The sequence below is a fragment of the Homo sapiens genome, chromosome 22 (assembly GCF_000001405.40).
Source record: "Homo sapiens chromosome 22, GRCh38.p14 Primary Assembly".
Classification (NCBI taxonomy): domain Eukaryota; kingdom Metazoa; phylum Chordata; class Mammalia; order Primates; family Hominidae; genus Homo; species Homo sapiens.
Window position 1 is genome coordinate 41106299 of NC_000022.11, and position 22142 is coordinate 41128440.

At 42.1% G+C, this 22142-nt stretch overlaps 1 protein-coding gene across 2 annotated transcripts in view, besides 1 other annotated feature; it reads left to right on the forward strand.

The window, feature by feature from the left end:
- Nucleotides 1–22142, forward strand: part of EP300 (EP300 lysine acetyltransferase) — an 87486-nt gene that overhangs the window by 13707 nt on the left and 51637 nt on the right. For both annotated transcript variants that reach the window (NM_001429.4, NM_001362843.2), the window contains exons 2-4: nucleotides 10889–11523; nucleotides 19566–19742; nucleotides 21189–21450. In NM_001429.4, coding sequence (NP_001420.2) covers nucleotides 10889–11523; nucleotides 19566–19742; nucleotides 21189–21450 — 1074 coding nt within the window. The remainder of the gene's footprint in view (nucleotides 1–10888; nucleotides 11524–19565; nucleotides 19743–21188; nucleotides 21451–22142) is intronic.
- Nucleotides 126–1116: an enhancer, noted in NCBI's record as "H3K27ac-H3K4me1 hESC enhancer chr22:41502428-41503418 (GRCh37/hg19 assembly coordinates)". NCBI's record gives its function as "activates a minimal SCP1, AML or CMV promoter by ChIP-STARR-seq in naive H9 embryonic stem cells {active_cell/tissue: H9 hESC(naive)}" and the evidence as "EXISTENCE:reporter gene assay evidence [ECO:0000049][PMID:30033119]".

The window sequence follows — 22142 nt, forward strand, 5'->3', positions numbered from 1 at the left end:
TGTTTAGCCAAACCATTATCAGAATTAGAATGACTAATGTTATGTAGGTTTGGTTTTCAACTCCATTCTTTTTTTGTTTCATTTTTTAAAAAATTCCAAATCTCTAACCTGGCCTTGGCGCTCTGAGTCTTCTGATCTCTGCCCACCTCATCACTCACTTTGTTCTCCCCATTTTGTTTATTTCAATTGCTGAACTGGCTGAGCTTTTACTCTCCCCACCTTAGGTTGTTCCACTCTTCATCTGTCAAGCTCCTACTCATCCTGTGGACTCAACCACTGGGTTAGATGAAAGAAAAGTTTGACGTGTCCACTCTTTAAAAACATTAAGTGTTTTTTGTTGTTTGTTTGAGACTGTCGTCCAGGCTGTAGTGCAGTGGCGCAATCTTGGCTCACGGCAGCCTCGACCTCCTGGGCTAAATGATCCTCCCACCTCAGCCTGTAGCTGCACCACCATGCCTGGCTAATTTTTAAATTTTTTTGTAGAGGCAGGGTCTTGCTATGTTGCTCAGGCTTGTCTAAAACTCCTGGGCTCAAGCAGCCTGCCTTGGCCTCCCAAAGTGCCATGATTACAGTTGTGAGCCACCTACCAGGTCTGGCCTAAAAGCATTTTTTTATTTTTATTTTTTGAGGTGGGATCTCGCACTGTCACCCAGGCTGGAGTGCAGTAGCGTGATCTCGGCTTACTGCAACCTCCGCCTCCAAGGTTCGGGTGATTCTCAAGCCTCAGCCTCCTGAGTAGCTGGGATTACAGGCGTGCACCATCACCCCCGGCTCATTTTTGTATTTTTAGTAGCGATGGGGTTTCACCATGTTGGCCAGGCTGGTCTCAAACTCCTGATCTCCGCCAGCCTCGGCCTTCCAAAGTGCTGAGATTACAGGCATGAGCCACGGTGCCTGACCTAAAAGCATTTTAATGCCACAGAGAAAGCCAGCTAAAGGGAGGAGGAGCAGTAGATGGATTCTGTCTTCTAAGTGGGATTTGAGAATTGACTGGATTTTAAATAATTAATAAAGGTGTTTTACTTAATGAACACAGTTTAAGAGAACTGAGTTGATTTTACTTCATTTTACCTAAAGTACAAAGGTAAGTGTGTTTACTCAAATAATATGTGAGCCTTTTAAGTAAAAAAAAAAAAAAGTGTAACTGTGAGAGATACTAATATAGTAGAATTAGATTTTGAGCCAAAATTGTTTTAATTTTAAATTACATTTTGTGTCATAGTTAAGTAACTAGAAAATTGTCTGATTTATGTTCATAGTACAGTGTTTGGGATTATATTTTTAATGGTTCTAATTTTGAAGGTTATGCTTCATTTATATATAATACTTCATTTGTTCAATTTCTCACGTATCATTGAATTATTTTGATCCTTTGATTTTTGGAAAGGCTAAATGAACCGAGATTATTTTTTATTTATTTATTTGGAGTTTGGCTTTTGTTGCCCAAACTGGAGTGCATTGGTGCAGTCTCGGCTCACTGCAACCTCTGCCTCCTGGGTTCAAGCGATTCTCCTGCCTCAGCCTCCCAAGTAGCTGGGATTACAGGCATGTGCCACCACACCCAGCTAATTTTGTATTTTTTTTTTGTAGAGACAGAGTTTTTCCGTGTTAGTCAGGCTGGTCTTGAACTCCCGACCTCAGGTGATAGCTTGCCTCGGCCTCCCAAAGTGCTGGGATTACAGGCGTGAGCCACCACGCCCGGCCACCGAGTTTATTTTATAAGGGATTATATGGTTACATCTGTTGCAAGGAGCAAACCACAAGCAATATAGAAGACAACAAGGGTGATCTACAGAATCAGTATGTGATAATGAAAGGATGTTTTGACTCAACACTAGTTTCCACGTGTTTAATCCAAACTCAGTTGTTGTTTAAATTGTTAAATTTCTAATACACGGTCCACTGGGTAAACCATGTATTAGGCTAAACTTTTCTTTTTCTTTTTCTTTTTTTTTTTTTTTTTTTTTTGAGACAGGGTCTCATTCTGTCGCCCAGTCTGGAGTGCAGTGGCGTGATCATGGCTCGCTGCAACCTCAACCTCCTGGGCTCAAGCAATCCTCCCATCTCAGCCTCCCAAGTAGCTGGGACTACAGATGTGCACCACCATGCCTGGCTAATTTTCGTATTTTTTTGTTGACACTGGTGTCCTTCTACATTCCAGGCTGGCCTTGAACTCCTGCGTTCAAGCAACCCTCCAGCCTTGGCCTTCCAAAGTGGTAGGATTATAGGCGTGAGCCACGGTGCCCAACCTATGCTAAACTTTTCACATCAGATTTATATGTGTCCTGTCCCGTTTTACTTCACCATGATTGGACTCAGTGTACACTCAGATGAAGAAACTTCAAAAAAAAAATACTGCTCCTTGTGAAGCAGAAGAAAGATTTTACTGAAAGTGATGTTTGTATTGGAGCATCATTAAAGGCATAAAGGAACTTGTGAACAAACTACTTGGTAGAAGCAGCCTGGTGATGTTGATTGGTTGATACTTTAGGAAGCGGGAAATGTCTTACTGGAGATAGTTCCTTCATTTCAACAGTCATTTGTGATACTGTTTTTTAATATTTGCCATAGGATAGTTAAAAGGTAATGGAACAAACTTCAGATTTATAAGTTTTTAATTAAATATAAAGGGGGCAAAAGTAGATAAATATCTTAAGAGCTCACCTTACTGTCTAGAAAAAATACTTGCTGGCCCAGCGCCGTGGCACACATATGTAAGTAATCCCAGCACTTTGGGAGGCCAAGGTGGGAGGCTTGCCTGAGCCCAGGAGATTCAGACCAGTCTGGGTAACATGGTGAGACCCCCATCTCAACAAAATAAAAAATTAGGTGTGGTGATGTGTGCCTTTGGTGGCAGCTACTAAGGAGGATTGCTTGAGCCAGGAGGTGAAGCTGCAGTGTGCTGTGATCCCGTCGCTCCACTCCAGGCTGGGCGACAGAGCAAGACCCTGTCTCAAAAAAAAAAAAAAACAAAAAAAAACGGAAAACATAAGACAGCAATCAAATACAATAGATTTGGCTTCAGTAAATGAAAACCCTCACTGTAGGCCCTAGAATAACAAGACTTCTATATTACTAAAGCTGATTACTGCTTGATGAACTCTGTACATGTGATGTGACTAGTATGAACTTCTGAGGTTGTTGAGATGAATGAGAATAAACGTGAGGTGCCAAGAAAAATGCCTGACACATTGAAAGTGCTGGATAAATGTATGCTGTCATCATTGTAAGCTGGGCTATCTCCTAATAGTGTAATGAGTCCATTGAATAACAATAGGTAACATGTTTATAGTGCTTAGTGTGTGCCAGGTACTGTTCTAAACACTTTACATTTATTCACTCATTTAATCACAAATAACATGAAGTAGGCACTTTGCTGTTATGCAGAGATGGAAACAAGGTTATCCCTGCATCTTTTTTTTTTGGCAGGGGGAGGAGGACGGGAACGGATGGAGTTGGTTTTTTTTTTTGGAGCTTCTGAGACCCAAGCTTCAGGCCATGCTCCCCCAAGCACCTCCCCACCACCACCCCCCAAGATGTAGTCTTGCTCTGTTTCCCAGGCTGGAGTGCAATGGCGTGATCTCAGCTAAACGGAACTTCTGCCTCCCGGGCTCAAGCAATTCTCCTGCCCCGGCCTCCTGAGTAGCTGGGATTACAGGCGCCTGCCACCACGCCCAGCTAATTTTTGTATTTTTAGTAGAGATGGGGTTTCACCATCTTGGCCAGGCTCGAACTCTTGACCTCAGGTGATCTGCTCGCCTCGGCCTCCCAAAGTGCTGGGATTACAGGTGTGACCCACTGTGCCCATCCTGTTCCCTGCCCCCCCCCCCTTTTTTTTTAAGTTATTGAGACAGAGCCTCACTTGGTCACCCAGGCTGGAGTGCAGTGGCAGGATCATAGCGCACTGCAGCCTCAACCTCCTGGGCTCAAGCAGGCCCTTTGAGTAACTGGGACCTGTAGGTGCATGCCAGCATATCCAGCTAATTTTTTTTTTTTTTTTTTTTTTTTTTTTTTTTTTTTTTGAGACAAAGTCTCACTCTGTTGCCCAAGCTGGAGTGCAGTGGTGTCATTGCAACCTCCACCTCTCGGGTTCAACTGATTCTCCTGCCTCAGCCTCCCGACTAGCTGGGACTACAGGCATGCTCCACCATTCCCGGCTGATTTTTTTATTTTTAGTAGAGATGGGATTTCACTATGTTGGCCAGGCTGGTCTTGAACACCTGGCCTCAAGTGATCCACCCGCCTCGGCCTCCCAAAGTAAAGTGCTGGGATTGCAGATGTGAGCTACCACATCCGGCCTATATCCAGCTAATTTTTAAAAATAATATTTTTGTAGAGAGGTGGTCTTTCTCCCCTCGGCCTTCCAACGTACTAGGATTACAGGCGTGAGCCACCCTTCTGGCTGTCTTTTCCTTTTTATTTTTTCACACTTCCAGTGGTCCTTGGGATCTGTGTATACTTTAGAATCATCTTGTCCAGTTTCTTGACAAACTTCTAGAAGTTTGATTGATACTGCATTGAATCTATAGATCAGTACTGGGGAATGATGTTTTTAATACTGAGGATTTCTAAGTGTTTGAGATATTCTGTTTAGTCAGCCTTTACTTTTGAGTTTACACCTGTTTTATATACATTGTCAGTTTTTCCCTATGTTATAAATCTTTTTTTTTTTTTTTTTAAATTTGAGATAGAGTCTCACTCTTGTCACCCAGGCCGGAATGCAGTGGTACAATCTCTGCTCACTGCAAACTCTGCCTCCTGGATGCAAGCGATTCTCGTGCCTCAGCCTTCTGAGTAGCTGGGACTACAGGCATGTGCCACCACGCGCAGCTAATTTTGGTATTTTTAGTGGAGACCGGGTTTCACCACGTTGGCCAGGCTGGTCTTGGCTGGTCTTAAACTCCTGACCTCCAGCAGTCCACCTGTCTCAGCCTCCCAAAGTGCTAGGATTACAGGCGTGAGCCACTGTGCCCGGCTCTACATTATTTAAAAAATTATTTGTAACCATTTGTTGCTGGCATACAGAAATTCACTTTGATACGTTTATATTTATGGTATAACCAGTCATCTTGCTAACCTCTCACAATTTCCAGTTGTATGTATTTCTTTAAAATTGACAACAGTTGTGTATATTCATGGGTTATAGTGTGATGATATATGTATTTGCTTTGAACTTTCTATGTCAACAGTTATATTATCTACAGACAATAAGTTTTGTTTCTTCCTTTTTCCTTTTTCTTTCTTTCCTTCTTTTTTGTTTTGAGACGGAGTTTTGCTTTTGTCACCCAGGGTAGAGTGCAATGGCACTATCTGGGCTCACCACAACCTCTGCCTCCCAAGTCAAGCGATTCTCCTGCCTCAGCCTCCTGAGTAGCTGAGGTTACGGCCTGCACCACCACGTACCGCTAATTTTGTATTTTTGGTAGAGACGGGGTTTCTCCATGTTGCTCAGGCTGGTCTCGAACACCCGACCTCAGGTGAACGCCTGCCTTGGCCTGCTAAAGTGCTGGGATTACAGGTGAGAACCACCATGCCCGGACTTTTTTCTCTTTTTTTTTCTTTTTTAGAACTTGTAACCTTTTTTTTTTTTTTTTTTTTTTTTTTTTTGAGACAGAGTCTCACTCTGTCGCCCAGGCTGGAGTGCAGTGGCGCGATGTCCACTCACTGCAAGCTCCGCCTCCCGGGTTCACGCCATCCTCCTGCCTCAGCCTCCCGAGTAGCTGGGACTACAGGCATCCGCCACCGCGCCCAGCTAATTTTTTGTATTTTTTAGTAGAGACGGGGTTTCACTGTGTTAGCCAGGATGGTCTCAATCTCCTGAACTCGTGATCCGCCCGCCTTGGCCTCCCAAAGTGCTGGGATTACAAGCGTGAGCCACCATGCCTGGCCACCTATTTTTTTATGTGTGTGTGAGACAGTCTCGCTCTGTCACCCAGCCTGGAGTGCAGTGGCACTGTCTCTGCTCACTGCAACCTCTGCTCCCCTGGGTTCAAGCGATTCCTTGCTTCAGCCTCCCAAGTAGCTGGGACTACAGGCGCCTGCCACCACACCCAGCTAATTTTTTGTTTTGTTTTGTTTTTAGTAGAGATGTGGTTTCGCTATATTGGCCAGGCTGGTCTCAAGCTCCTGACCTCAAGTGATCTGCCCACCTTGGCCTCCCAAAGTGCTGGGATTACAGGCGTGAGCCACTGTGCCTGGCCAAGATGAATCTTATATTTTCTTTATCCTTTGTTACTATGGCGAATGACAGTTTATAGATGTTCTGGTGTCCCCTGGATTCCTGGGATTATCCCAACTTGATGATGATTTTTGAGCCTTTGGTTTGCTCTTTTTAAAGAGTCTTGTTTCTGTGTCCATGAAGAAGATTGGCCTGTGTTTTTCTTATATTGGCCATGTGTAATTTTTATATTGTTTTTTTTTTTTAGAAGTATTTGTGTTAGCTTGAATTGTATTTTCCTTGAAAGTTTGGTGTAGGGCATGCCTGTAAACAATTCGGATATGGTGCTTTCTTTATGGAAAGATTAACCAAGGGCTTATTTTCTCTAGTAGCAGTAGGATTACAGTGGTCTGGCTTCCCATGTGCCTATTACCCAGCTTCAGGTTTACTAGTATATTATACTACCCTTCCCCCCTTTTTTGCTGGAGTATTTTAAAGCAAATCCTAGCCATGTCATTTCACCAGAAATATTTCAATGTATATCTTTCAGTAAAAAGGATTTATTTTAAAATAATGCCATTGTTATAGTCAATAAAGTTAATGATTTCTTAATATCACCCATTTCTCAGTCTGTACCTAAATATGTCTTACTCTCATTTCAAAATGTGTGTTTATAGTTGGCTTGTTTGAATCAGGATTCCACCCCCCCCCCAACTTATGCTATGGATTTGTTGGAGAAACTGGGACATTCCATATCCTATATGATTTCTTTTTTATTAAGGTTTGAGTATTTTCTCCGGAATTTATTTATTTTGTATGTTTTCTTCATTTGTATAAAGTTGATAGTATTGCTTTATCTTTTAATTTTCTTTTTTTCTTAACCTTCTTGAAGTTCGTCTTTTGTTACTCCAAAAAACTAACTTCTAGTTTTGGTAATGCTGTTACATTCCTATTTCCTGTTTCGTTTATGCTTTTGTCTTTGATTGTCTTCTTCATATTAATACTATTTTTCTAATATAATTTGGATACTTAATTCATTATTAGCAACCTCAGGAGACTCACTGGAGAGTTCATTAATTTGTAACTTTATTTATTATTATTATTTTTTTGAGACGGAGTCTCGCTCTGTCGCCCAGGCTGGAGTGAAGTGGCGTGATCTCGGCTCACTGCAAACTCTGTCTCCCGGGTTCATGCCATTCTCCTGCCTCAGCCTCCTGAGTAGCTGGGACTATAGGCGCCCGCCACCACGCCCTGCTAATTTTTTGTATTTTTAGTAGAGATGGGGTTTCACCGTGTTATCCAGGATGGTCTCGATCTCCTGACCTCGTGATCCGCCCACCTCGGCCTCCCAAAGTGCTGGGATAACAGGCGTGAGCCACTGCGCCCGGCCTTTTTAACTTTATTTTCTAACATAGGCCTTTAGGTTTTGAAATATATTTTTTATTACTCAATTTCCTTTGTGATTTCTTTTGTAATTTATCACTGCCTGTTTTTAAAATTTCTAAAGTGGAGATTTTTTTGCCCTCTATGTTCAGTATGCTAATGATAAAATATTTTCTTGGATACTCCAGGGGAAAAGTAAAAATTGCAAATAAAGTATGATCTCAGTTTTGTAAATCACGTAAGTATAAGGAAATAATGAAGGAACTATATCAGTATATTAAGCAGGCATTTTTGAATAGTGGTTTTAGGTCAGTTTTGTTACACATTTGGGTATTTGTTGTTGTTGTTGTTGTTGTTGTTTGAGATAGGATCTCGCTCTGTCACCCAGGCTAGAGTGCAGTGGTACATTCACGGCTCACTGCAGCCTCAACTTCCCAAGCTGCCGCTATCCTCCTTCCTCAGCCTCCCTAGTAGCTGAGACCACAGGTACAGGCCACTAGGCCTGGCTAAGTTTTGTATTTTTTTGTGCAGTTTGGTTTTCTCCATGTTGCCCAGGCTGGTCTGCTGAGCTCGAGCCGTCTGCCCTCCTTGGCCTCACAAAGTGTTGGGATTACAGGTTGTGAGCCAAAGTGCTCAGCCTTGTGGCACATTTTTGATGGAGGAGCCCATATGATATTTCAAAAGGAAAGAGTAATTCTGTAAAACTCTGGACTCTAAATTATGCCCTGAGATCTTGGGATACAATTTGACTTAGTTCATATATGACCACATGTTGGTTTAGTTAATATATGACCATGTGCTTACTATGTTGCCAGTAGGCAAGGAGCTGGTATATAAGTGGTAAAACATGTCCTTCGCGAAGAATGCATGGTTGGAGTGAGGGGTGGTCACAAGGGATGGCAAGGGGAGGAGAGGAGGCAAACCCAGAGATAATTTCAGTGACATGATAAAATGCTAAAAGATACAGAAGGAGCAGGATTGGGAAGAAAAAAAAAAACTACAAGAAGAGGAAGGGCACATACAGGAAGAGTTATACTTAGGAACTAAGATTAATTGGATCAAGTAGACCATTAAGGCAATATTTTGTCTTCAAGGGATGGTCCATTTTTTAAGAGGATAATAGCTGTGGAATTTTTGTTGTTGTTAGTAGACAAGGTCTCACAGTGCCCAGACTTGATGTGAATTCCTGGGCTCAAGCTATCCTCTTGCCTCAGCCTCCTGAGTAGCTTGGACTATAGATGTGTACCACTATGCCCAACACCCAGTAATGCCTTTTTAATGTGAAAACTACTTTAGAGAATTGAAAGGAAAGAAAACTCAAATAATTTTTATAGTAGGTTAATACTGTCAATAGGTCAATCAGGAGTAATTTTCTTCCCCCAGGGGATGTTTGGTGATGTCTGGAGACAGTTTTGATTGTCACAATTGGGATATGGGTGCTACTGGCATAAGTAGAAAGACCAGGAGTCTCCTAATGATAATAGAGGGCACAAGACAATCACCCTCCACCCACAACAAAGAATTATCACATAGCTCAAAATGTTAATAGTGCCAGGGTTGAGAAACCCTGCATTAATCTATACTTAGCACCCAGTTTTGTTTGTTCTTTTTTGAGACAGGATCTTGCTCTGTCACCCAGGCTGGAGTGCAGTTGTGCAGTTAAAGCTCACTACAACCTCAAATTCCTGGACTCAAGTAATCCTCCCACCTTAGCCTCCTGAGTGGCTAGGAGTATAGCCTAGTGCCACCACACCCAGCCGACTTTATTGTTTGTAGAGACAGGGTCTTGCTGTGTTGACCTGGGCTGAAGAATTCCTCCTGCCTTGGCCTTCTAAAGTACTGAGATTACAGGTGTGAGCTACCAGGGCTGGTCTTGCACCCTGTTTTTGGTAGGGGTGGTTTGTATGGTGAAGGAGCCAGAGGCATGGTGTTGTACCCTATTCTGGCTAGACTTTGGTTAAGGAAAGCTATTCTGTAGGCTACAGGTCAAAAACTCCGCCTGTTAAAGGCCTACTTTGAGGCAGGTACTATATAGGAACTTGGTAAAAAATGGTGGATAGCCCTCTGCTTAACTGGAGCACACACTGAGTGTTCCACAAATGACAGGTCTTTTGTATCAGTTGTGTGTCTTTATGTATTACAATATTTAAAATGTTTTCTTTCCATCCTGAGTTTAGTTTGTGTGTAGATATTTTAACTGTTCTTCTAAGGAACTTGGGAATATTAATACAGCTTAATTGCATTTCTTTTTTCCATGACTGTGGATACAAACCTTTAGCTAGCAACTCATGTAATAATGGGTGTTGCACTTTTTTTTTAACAAAAAATAAAATTTTATTTCAACTATTATGCTAATTCTATAACATTATTTAGAATGTTTTTCTTTTTTTAATTATCCTTTAAGTTTTGGGATACATGTGCAGAACGTGCAGGTTTGTTACATAGGTATACATGTGCCATGGTGGTTTGCCGCACCCATCAATCCGTCATCTACATTAGGTATTTGTCCTAATGCTATCCTCTCCTAGCCCCCCATCCCCCAGCAGGCCCTGGTGTCTGATGTTCCCCTCTCTGTGTCCATGTGTTCGTATTTAACTCCCACTTATGAGTGAGAACATGCGGTGTTTAGTTTTCTTTTCCTATGTTTTCTGAGAATGATGGTTTCCAGGCTTCATCCTTGTCCCTGCAAAGGACATGAACTCATCCTTTTTTATGGCTGCATAGTATTCCATGGTGTATATGTGCCACATTTTCTTTATCCAGTCTGTCATTGATGGGGGGTGTTGTACTTTCAATCCCTTTTTTCCTTGGTCTTATTTTAGGTATAGTTCTTAAGTGTTTAAGTTTGTTGATATAACCAAATATCCCCTCAATTTAAAAAATCTATAAAATGGTTTTAGTATGACCTAAAAAACTACCATACAAATAGTATATATATAGGGCTGTGTGTGGTGGCTCACACCTGTAATCCCAGCACTTTGGAAGGCCAATGCAGACAGATAGCTTCAGCTCAGGAGTGTAAGACCAGCCAGGTCAACATGGCAAGCTCCGCCTCTACTAAAAATACAAAATTTAGCTCGGTGTGGTGGTGCGCACTTGTAGTCACAGCTACTTGGGAGGCTGAGATGGTAGAATCACTTGAACCTGTGGATAGAGGTTACAGTAAGCCAAGATCGCGCACCACTGCACTCCAGCCTGTGCAACAGAGTAAGACCCTGTCTCAAATAAATAGAAAAACATGGAGTGAGGTTGGGAAATGACATTTAATGCTTATTGAGAACAATATAGAGCAGTTTTTTATTTTGGTTTTGTCATACTTTGACCTTTGTCTTTTCCCTTTGCTTTTAGATTTTGGCTCTCTATTTGACTTGGAGCACGACTTACCAGATGAATTAATCAACTCTACAGAATTGGGACTAACCAATGGTGGTGATATTAATCAGCTTCAGACAAGTCTTGGCATGGTACAAGATGCAGCTTCTAAACATAAACAGCTGTCAGAATTGCTGCGATCTGGTAGTTCCCCTAACCTCAATATGGGAGTTGGTGGCCCAGGTCAAGTCATGGCCAGCCAGGCCCAACAGAGCAGTCCTGGATTAGGTTTGATAAATAGCATGGTCAAAAGCCCAATGACACAGGCAGGCTTGACTTCTCCCAACATGGGGATGGGCACTAGTGGACCAAATCAGGGTCCTACGCAGTCAACAGGTATGATGAACAGTCCAGTAAATCAGCCTGCCATGGGAATGAACACAGGGATGAATGCGGGCATGAATCCTGGAATGTTGGCTGCAGGCAATGGACAAGGGATAATGCCTAATCAAGTCATGAACGGTTCAATTGGAGCAGGCCGAGGGCGACAGAATATGCAGTACCCAAACCCAGGCATGGGAAGTGCTGGCAACTTACTGACTGAGCCTCTTCAGCAGGGCTCTCCCCAGATGGGAGGACAAACAGGATTGAGAGGCCCCCAGCCTCTTAAGGTAAGTACAGTTTTGGTTTGTGTGCACAATCGGCATGCATGTGAGTATTGTCATGATGGATGGAGGGTTTGCCTTACATTGTATAGCAGTTTCCACTATTACACGCCAGGAATTTACTGTGCTGTCATAAGTTTTAAGAAGTGCCTGTATTTAAGTAAAACGTTTATTTTACAGCTGGTATTCTATAACTTCATACTTCCAAATGATTGCTGGCTAATGCTGGTTCTCTCTGGCACAAGTATTGGAATGTTTTTATCTCATTTCCAAGTCCAGTTTAGCCTTGTAGCCTCCTTATAAAATTACAGTTTTGAGATGGCTGGCATTACACTGTCTTCAGATGGATACTCCATTTGTTCCTATTGCTTTGAATGTCCCTGGTTTTCAAGAGATACATTTATTCTGAGAAATGTATTAACTGTTATTTTTCTTTATTGGTTGATGGAAATTAAGGTGCATTTGTTCATGTGAAACCTCAACAGTGTAGATGTTTCAGTGAACCAGAACTTGGCCAAAGACTTCTGTTAGCTTTATTAACTAGAGAATGCTAAGTATATTAAAAATATTTTAAACTTTTAAATGTGGATCCTGTATACATAAATAAGGCATAATCACACATACTTTAGTGCTTATTTCTTCATATTTTTCTTTACATATTTTATCTGTTTTTCTTAAAATGGGATCACACTATGGTTGCCAGTGCCTGGCATGTAGTTCGTTTTTGTTGAATGAGAGATGGCTTCACTTCGAAGATGAAATTGGAGATAGGTACGATTTTCACAAGGAGTCAAGAGCAAGCTTTCTCTGTAACAGGAATAATTTGAGCAGACATCAGGACTTCTGTGTTCCTGAGAATCTTGGGTGCAGTGGCTCATGCCTGTAATCCCAGCACTTTGGGAGGCCAAGGCTAGAGGATCGCTTGAGCCCAGGAGTTAAGAGACCAACCAGGTAGCATTGACCCCATCTTCTATTTAAGGGGAAAAAAAAAAAAAGAACCTTGATGGTGACAGAGAATGCAAGTGTGAATTGAAGACAGATGGACAAACTTGTGTTGGGGGGAACTGAGGTGACATGTAGGAATTCAAAAACCTTAAATTTTTTTTTGCTGCGAGAATATTGACAAGTTAGGATTCTGTTTTAGCATTCCTTTGTAGATTCTCCCTTTCTGCCCCTCACCCCCGCCACCTTTTTTTTTTTTTTTTGAGACAGGGTCTTACTCTGTCACCCAGGCTGGAGTGCACTGGCCTAATCATGGCTTACTGCAGCCTCAACCTACCAGGCTTAAACAGTCTTCTCGCCTCAGCCTCCTGAGTAGCTGGAACTGAAGGCACATACCACCATGCCTGGCTTATTATTATTTTTTTTTTTTTTTTTTTTTTTTTTAAGAGATGGGGTCTCACTATGTTGCTCAGGCTAATCTCAAACTCCTCTTGGGCTCAAGTGATCCTCTTGTCTCAGCCTCCCAAAGTGCCAGGATTACAGGTGTGAGCCACTGCACCCATCCTCTGACACTTTTAGATTGCCGTGTCAGTGTAGTTTACTTAGAATATTTGGAGTGAGAACCAAAAACAAGGTAAATTATTAAGTACCTCTTCTAGGATCTAGGAACATAGCTATGAAGAGAGAAAGTCCTTGCCACCGATGTTTATATTCTGTTACGGAGAGGAGGGATGACTTACAATAAACCCTCACTGGTGGACAAAATACTTTAGGGTTAAAGTAGTGAATGAACTTATTTTATGTAACCTACTTTCTACTGTGCACATAAGATATAAATTTTAGAGTATGCCAGGTAAGTGCTATGGAGAAAAATAAGGAAAGGCTCATTGACATCTGCTTGGGGGTGTGGGACTATTATGGTTATAATCTTAATTTCTTTCAGAAACTGGGTTTATATAGAAGTGAGCAAAACAAAAATCCCTGTCCTTGTGGAGCTTGTATTTTGATGAGAAGGAGGAATTCAAATTTTAAACTTCTGTTAAACGATATTTTATTTCCTTATTTGATTTTTATTTTGAGACCGAGTCTTGCTGTTGCCCATGCTGGAGTGCAGTGGCGTGATCTTGGATCACTGCAACCTCTGCCTCCCGGGTTCAGGCAGTTCTCCTGCCTCAGGCTCCAAGTAGCTGGGACCACAGGCATGCGCCACCAAGCCTGGCTAATTTTTGTATTTTTAGTAGAGAAGGAGTTTCACCATGTTGCCCAGGCTCGTTGTGAACTCCTGACCTCAAGTGATCTGCCCACCTCGGCCTCCCAAAGTGTTGCCACCGCACCTAGGCCTATTTTCTTATTTTAAATGAATCCACCTATATTGATATTTTGTAGAGTACTTATATCAGTGTTTGACAAATGAGGGAGCTTTAAATGTTTAATAAATTTAACAAATGTTTTAAGTTATGTAGGTTTAGGATAAGATAACCACTTAAGGCTGGATGCAGCGGTTCACACCTAGAATCATTCCAGACCAGCCCCAGCAACATAGTGAGACCCCCATCTCTACCAAAAACAAAAAATTATCCTTGTGTCGTGGCACACCCACGCCAGCAGTTGCCCTTCCACTGTACCAAGTCCTAAAATTATCTTGTAGAGCGAATTATACTCATTACATTTCTTAAACTCCTAAGACTTGTGATATTTAAGAATTAGGATTTAAGGTGTAAGAAAGTTTTCAGTAAGATTTGATGACTGTAACCCTGTTGGCAAATGACATCAGCTTTTGCACACCGTTCTTGTCATGGATGAATCTGTGGTTCAGGAGGTGCAGGCAGGTGGTGACATTACTACTACAGCTGTCTTCCAAAAGTCTGACCTATGGTGATTTATAGGAAGAAACTTGGATCATACTGCCTTTTACCCCAATCTTTAGATTCAGCATAAACTAATCAAAGCCAGAATGTTTTAAGTTACTTTTGTTTTTGAGACAGGATCTCTTCCTATCACCCAGGCTGGAGTACAGTGGCACCATCACAGCTCACTTGCAGCCTTGATCTCCCAGGCTTACGCGATCCTCCTACCTCAGACTCCTAAGTAGCTAGTACTACAAGGACTGTCATGCCCTGCCAGTTATTTTTATTTTTGTTGAGACAGGGTCTCACTATGTTGTCTTGGCATCAAGCAATCCACCTGCCTTGGTCTTCCAAAGTGCTCAGATTACAGACAGGGGCCACTAAGCCTGGCCACATTTTTTTCAAGAAGAAAAAATAGGCATGGCTCAGTAGTTCACATCTGTATTCCTACCGCTTTGGGAGGCTGAGGCAGGAGGATCTCTTGAAGCCAGAAGTTCGAGATGTGCCTGGGCAACATAATGAGACCCCATCTCTACTTTTCTTTTTTCTTTTTTCTTTTTTTTCAAAAAAGAAAGAATAGTTGTCTGCAGGACGCATTTCTTGTAGCTGCCTAGAACTTTGTGTGGCTTCCTCACCCTCTCCTTTTTAGTTTAGGTAGCTATTTGTATGGTGGTGGGTAATTGGACATCTGGAGCATATTAGCTATGGAGAAAGAAACAAGATCAAATAACTATAGTGTAGCAGAAATTAAGTACAAAATCTTCCTTATTACATTTAGTGTGGGGAGTAAAGAAGCAGGGCTCAGGAGATAGAAGGGGCAGTGATCTGGAGGTTGGTTGGTATTTTATTTTCTAATTCCTCAGCAGATCTGTGTGGGAGATGGAAAAACAAAAGCTAGAGAATCTTTTTTGGTCACAGTGACCAAAAGTGTCAGGAAGAAATTACTGCCAGCTGATCAGCAATCAGTGTAGTCTGTGTATTTAAACCCATAGTCTGCCATAGAGGAGCTTGGAGTTTCCAGGTAATGCATCGTGATCAAGGGAACAAGCAGTGTCAGGAATTGGTTGAAATTCAGTTGGTCTAGGCAGGCAAGGCATGCAATCATGAAGGACCAGATTGTTTGGGGAAATATTTGGATAAAGACATTACATTTATTAACAAGAGACAACAACACAGCTTAGAAATTCCAACATTTTGTTGATTCAGATAATAGGACTCTTGAGGGCATAATTTATTGTCTTAGTCTTTTATTGTTTGTCATGCGGGTTCTGTGATAGAATGACTTTCATACTATATCTATCATGAATTTTCATGCTAATAAGAAACAGGTTAAACAACTCCCCCATGTATAGGTATGGATATTATTGGAGCCACATAGGATAAATACTAGTAGTTTAAAAAAAACATAGGTAGCAGCAGCACTTGCAGTCAGATTTGTAACTACCAAAAGTAGCCTGGACTTGATTTAAACCTGTTTCTGCATTCTATTGCCCCTGCAATCTTTTGGCCATATTTACATAGAATCAAGAAGGTTTTTTTCTTTCTTCTTCTTCTTTTTTTTTTTTTTTTTTTTTTTTGGAGACAGAGTTTCGTTCTTGTCGCCCAGGCAGGAGTGCAATGGCCCAATCTTGGCTCATTGCAACCTCTGCCTCCCAGGTTTAAGTGATTCTCCTGCCTCAGTCTCCCGAGTAGGTGGGATTGCAGGTGTGTGCTACCACGCCCAGATAATTTTTGTATTATTAGTAGAGACAGGGTTTTACCATGTTGGCCAGGCTGGTTTCAAACTCCTGACCTCAGGTGATCCATCCACCGCCACCTCTCAAAGTGCTGGGATTACAGGCGTGAGCCACCGTGCCCGACCAAGAAATTATCTTCTCTGAATGCTTCTCATTTCAGGCCACCTCATTCTTTTATGCTTCCATCAAACTGCCACTTGTAAATTACTTGTAAATCATTCTTGTAAATTACTTACCTTAGTCTCTGAATTTCATCTGGAAAATGAAAATGTTCTTTAACTTTTTTTTTTCATTTTTTGGTAATAGTATAAAGAAGATTAATTTACATTTTTTTGTTTTTTTTAATAGAGGCAAACTGCTGAACCAAAAAAGATGTCATATTCATAGATTTGCAGAGTATAGATATTGCATATGATTTAAAGAACGAATTTTAGGCCAGGCATGGTGGGAGATGCCTGTAATCCCAGCACTTAGGCAGAAGGATTGCTTGAGGCTAGGAGTTCAGTCAACTCCTGGGCAACATCTCTACAAAAATAAAAACAAAAATTAGCTGGGCATGGTGGTGCAAGCTTGTAGTCCCATCTGCTTGGGAGGCTGAGATGGGAGAATTGCTTGAGCCCAGAGGTTGGGAATTATAATGAGCTATGATAATGCAACTGCACTCCAACCTAGGCAACAGAGTGAGACCCTGTCTTTTTATATAAAAAGTAAAAGAAAAATTTTATTAAGAGCTTTGTACCTGTCCAAAACAGATGCTTCACAGAGGTAGTAACATTTGAAATTACAAGGATGAGTAGAATCTGCAGGTGTTTCTTAGTTAGGTTGTACTATCTAAGGAACCAACAGAAAATGCCTCTCTGTGAACTTGGTGTTTATTTCCAGGTTGGCATTAAGGAGTCAAATAGGAAAGAAAATGTGCTACTGTTCAGTTGTAGGGAAAGGGAAAAGCTTGAGGCAAATGCTGGAGGCTCAAGGAGCGTGATACTTTCAGACTTTAAGAAATCAGTACAGGAAATATATAAGATACCATAGATAGGTAGTCAGACTTCATAAAGGCTTTGGTATACGTACTGTGGGGTTGATTTTTTTCTTTTATAGAGGCAGGTGAAAACAGAAGACAGGCAAACCTGTTGTCCACAGTCTGTACAAGCACTGTGATAGGTTTGAGTTAAGACAGTCACAGTAGGTAGGAATACATGGGAAGGGTTTTAGTGTCTATGTGTGCTTTTAGAGGTAGAATTGAAGGACCCTTTGATTGGTCTTAGCAGACAGAAATCTGGTATGAATCCTTTAATTGGGCAGTAGCTATAGTATCTTGAGTTATTCTGAGTGTTTGCTCAATGTTTCTAGTAGTGATGATGACTTGTAGTTGGGATCCTATGTGTAATTTGGCAGAAGAGGACGGTGGCTTCAAACTTTGTTTGGGATATAAAGTTGACCCCATTTTGAATTATTTTAAAATAATTTGAAAGATTAATGAAAATGCATTTTTATAACTTTCATTATTAGTAAAACGTTTGACTTTAGAATAATGCTGTTTTTCAATTAATTATTATTATAGTATAATGGCTCCAGGTGAACTTAACATAAATATAGAACATAAACTACTTTTTAAAGTACAGAGGGAGCCGGCACAGTGGCTAACGCCTGTAATCCCAGCACTTTGGGAGGCCGAGGTGGGCAGATCACTTGAGGTCAGGAGTTCAAGGCCAGCCTTGCCAACATGGCGAAACCCCGTCTCGACTGAAAGTAAAAAAATTAGCTGAGTATGGCGGCGCACGCCTGTAGTCCCAGCTACTCAGGCTGAGGCAGGATAACCGCTTGAACCCAGGAGGCAGAGGTTGCAGTGAGCCGAAATTGCACCACTGCGCCCCAGCCTGGGCGACAGAGCGAGACTTTGTCTCAAAAACAGAGAAGTACATAAGGGTTGCAAAGTCAAATGACTTGAAGGGCCAAGCAGGTGACTTAGCAGGTGACTTAATAGAGCAGCTAGGTTTAAAACAGCAAGGAATAGTGTGGAGTCTGGACTTCCGCATGCTCTATGTAAAGGAGTCAGAATCAGAAGTTTTAAAAAACACTGTCATCAGTGTCCCTACACAAAAAAGGACATATTCCCAAACCATCAGTTTTCTACTTTTTATACAAACAAAATACAGGAATAATTATTCAAATGAGGCCAAGCATGGTGGTTCACGCCTATAATCGCAGCACTTTGGGAAGCTGTGGTGGGAGGATTGCTAGAGCCCGGGAATTTGAGACCAGCCTGGGCAACATGGCAAGACCCTGTCTCTATTTTTTAATAGTCAAAAAAAAGAAGAAGAAGAAAACATTCAAATGCTTGAACATGACAAAGGGGTTAGATGGCTTATTAAGTTGAATTCGCCATGTAGCATCATGTGTGACGTAATGGAAATGAATGGCAAACCTTGTTTAACAGAATTAAATGAAGATGATTAAAAGTATTTCTAAAACATCTTTATTTCAAATATTTATGAAAATAACTCTGTACATTTACCATACCCAAGGCCCCTAAATCTTAATTTTGATCTTAATCTTGAAAATGTATTGTTGTTAGCATACTTTGTATAGTGGGTTTTTTTTGTTTGTTTGTTTTTGAGACAGGGTCTCACTCTGTTGCCGAGGCTGGAGTGCAGTGGCCTGATCATGGCTTACTTGCAGCCTCAACCTCCCAGGCTCAGGTGATCCTCCTACCTCAGCCTCCTGAGTAGCTGGGACCACAGGCACATGCCACCACATCCAGCTTTTCTTTCCTTTTTTTTTTTTTTTTTTTTTTTTGAGATGGAGTCTCACTCTGTCGCCCAGGCTGGAGTGCAGCGGCGTGATCTCGGCTCACTGCAAGCTCCGCCTCCCGGGTTCACTCCATTCTCCTGCCTCAGCCTCCCGACTAGCTGGGACTACAGGCGCCCGCCACCACACCCGGCTAATTTTTTGTATTTTTAGTAGAGACGGGGTTTCACCATGTTAGCCAGGATAGTCTCTATCTCCTGACCTCATGATCCTCCCGCTTCGGCCTCCCAAAGTGCTGAGATTACAGGTGTGAGCCACTGCGCCCGGCTGTTTTTTGGGGTTTTTTTTTTGTATTTTGGTACCGATGGGTTTTCACCATGTTCCCCAGGCTGTTGTCAAACTCCTGACCTCAAGAAACCCTCCTGCCTTGGCCTCGCAAAGTGGTGGGATTACAGGTATGAGTCGCCAGGCCCGGCCACTTGGTTTTTTGCCATCATGGCTCCCTACAACCTCTACCTCCCAGGCTTCACTGATAATCCCACTTTAGCCTTCCAATTAGCTGGGACTATAGGCTTGCGCCACCATGTCCAGATTTTTGTATTTTTTAGTAGAGATGGGGTTTTGTCACGTTGCCCAAGCTGTAGTGTCTTTTCTAATAGAAGCTGAGAATTTCCTTTGAAACTGTCTTTGTGAACTTGGAAGTGAAATCAGAAAAGGAATAATAATGTCTTAAATTTTATTGCTTATTTTGTTTTCTTTTGTTTCTTACTCTTAGATGGGAATGATGAACAACCCCAATCCTTATGGTTCACCATATACTCAGAATCCTGGACAGCAGATTGGAGCCAGTGGCCTTGGTCTCCAGATTCAGACAAAAACTGTACTATCAAATAACTTATCTCCATTTGCTATGGACAAAAAGGCAGTTCCTGGTGGAGGAATGCCCAACATGGTGAGTACTAATCCATTACAGACTTGTTTTCAAACTGGCATTTTGACAAAAGAATTGTGTTAAACTTTCACCCTTCTGTTATATATGCTGGGATTTGTACCCACTAGGAGCCTAAATTGATATGTACTTGATGATCCCTGTGAGGAGGCTTGTGCTTCCTTTCCATTTCTCTGTTTTTTTTGTTCCATGTGGTTATTGATCAGTGAGCATGTTGATCCAAACAGGAGTAAGTGAACTGCTACAATGAAGTTTTAGGGGCCTGCCATTCAGCAACTTGGTCTTGTGAGCGTTTCCATACGATACGAAAGCGGAACCTTTCACTTTTGGGGGAAGGAATCTCTGGCAAAGGATCCGAACTCTCAGTGACCATATTTACCAATATTATTTGATTCTACTACACCCAAGTAAATTCCCTCTCAAAAGTAATGTATTGTTTTAAACAGCAATTTTTGTTAAATAAAATTTTCAGGAACTTCTAGTGTTATTTTTGTACAGTCAAACTACTAGTAGTAAATGTGTCTGCATTCAACTTTGGAAAAACATTGTCTGAAAAAATCCTCTTTCAGATGTTTTAGTTTTGTCCTTTGTGTCATTATGTTTATGGACTGCCTATATTTGAGATACTCTGCCAAGTACTGGAGTTATACAGATGAATGAAACATGTCATCTCTGTCCCGAGAAATGTTCACTTTTTTTTTTTTTTTTTTTTTTTTTTTTTTTTGAGACGGAGTTTAGCTCTTGTTGCCCAGGCTGGAGTGCAGTGGTACGATCTCGGCTCACTGCAACTTCTCCCTCCTGGTTTCAAGCAACTCTCCTGCCTCAGCCTTCTGAGTAGCTGGGATTACAGGCATGTGCCATCATGCCCGGCTAACTTTGTATTTTTAGTAGAGACAGGGTTTCTCCATGTTGGTCAGGCTGATCTCGAACTCCCGACCTCAGGTGATCCGCCTGCCTCGGCCTCCCAACGTGCTAGGGTTACAGGCGTGAGCCACCGCGCCCGGCCTGAAATCTTCACTTTTTAATTTAAAAAACTAAATTTATCCCAGAGTTTAGAAAAACTAGTTTTTCACCAACCCGAAAGACCCCTCTGCTGAGTCTCTTGAGGAGTTCTTCATTGCTCTTTAAAACCTAATTTGGGTGTGCTTTTAACTACAGACACCCTCTCACCCTTCCCTCTCCCGCTGGAGTTTACCATGTCCTTCTCTCTGCTTTTGCTCTCTGTGTATTATACATACTTATATCACTTCGTAATGTCATTTTTTTTCTTATTAAATTGAGCTTCTTAAAGGTAGGAGCCATGGTTTATGCATTCCCTGTGTCAAAAAATGGAGTCTGGCTTATAGTAGACTAACCATAAAGGTTTTCATTGAAAATATCCACATCTCTATTTATTAAGAAATAGCACATTATGACTCCTACCATTAAATATATTGTTATATCTCTCAGGGTCAACAGCCAGCCCCGCAGGTCCAGCAGCCAGGCCTGGTGACTCCAGTTGCCCAAGGGATGGGTTCTGGAGCACATACAGCTGATCCAGAGAAGCGCAAGCTCATCCAGCAGCAGCTTGTTCTCCTTTTGCATGCTCACAAGTGCCAGCGCCGGGAACAGGCCAATGGGGAAGTGAGGCAGTGCAACCTTCCCCACTGTCGCACAATGAAGAATGTCCTAAACCACATGACACACTGCCAGTCAGGCAAGTCTTGCCAAGGTAAGTGGACCCACAGGGTTACTGTACTTAGCAATTTTTACAGCCAGGGAGAAGAAGGAAAATGTGATCAAGTCTATTTTGTGGTGATGGATATGTTTAATACCTTAATTGTGGTGATGGTGTCTGTATGTACAAAGTCACCAAAATGTATACATTAGACCAGGTGTGGTGTCTCACACTTACAATCCCAGCACTTTGGTAGGCCAAATGGGGAGGATTGCTTGAGGCCAGGAGTTTGAGACCAGCCTGGACAACATAGCAAGACCTCGCCGGGCATGATGATGCACCTGTAGTCCTAGCTGAGGGACTAAGAAGGCTGAGGAAGGAGGATTGCTTGAGCCCAGGAAGTCAAGGCTGCAGGGGGCTATGATTGCGCCACTGTACTCCAGCCTGGGTGACAATGTGAGACCATGTCTTTAAAAAAGGTTGGGCGCAGTGGCTCATGCCTGTCATCCCAGCACTTTGGGAGACTGAGGTGGGCAGATCACTTGAGGTCAGGAGTTCAAGACCAGCCTGGGCAATATGGTGAAACCTCGTCTCTACAAAAAAATACTAAAGAAAATCAGCCAGATGTCTGGGTGTGTTCCTGTAGTCCCAGCTACTTGGGAGATTGAGGTGGGAGGATGGCTTGAGCCCAAGAGGGCAGGGGTTGGTGTGATTCGACATCATACCACTGCACTCCAGCCTGGACG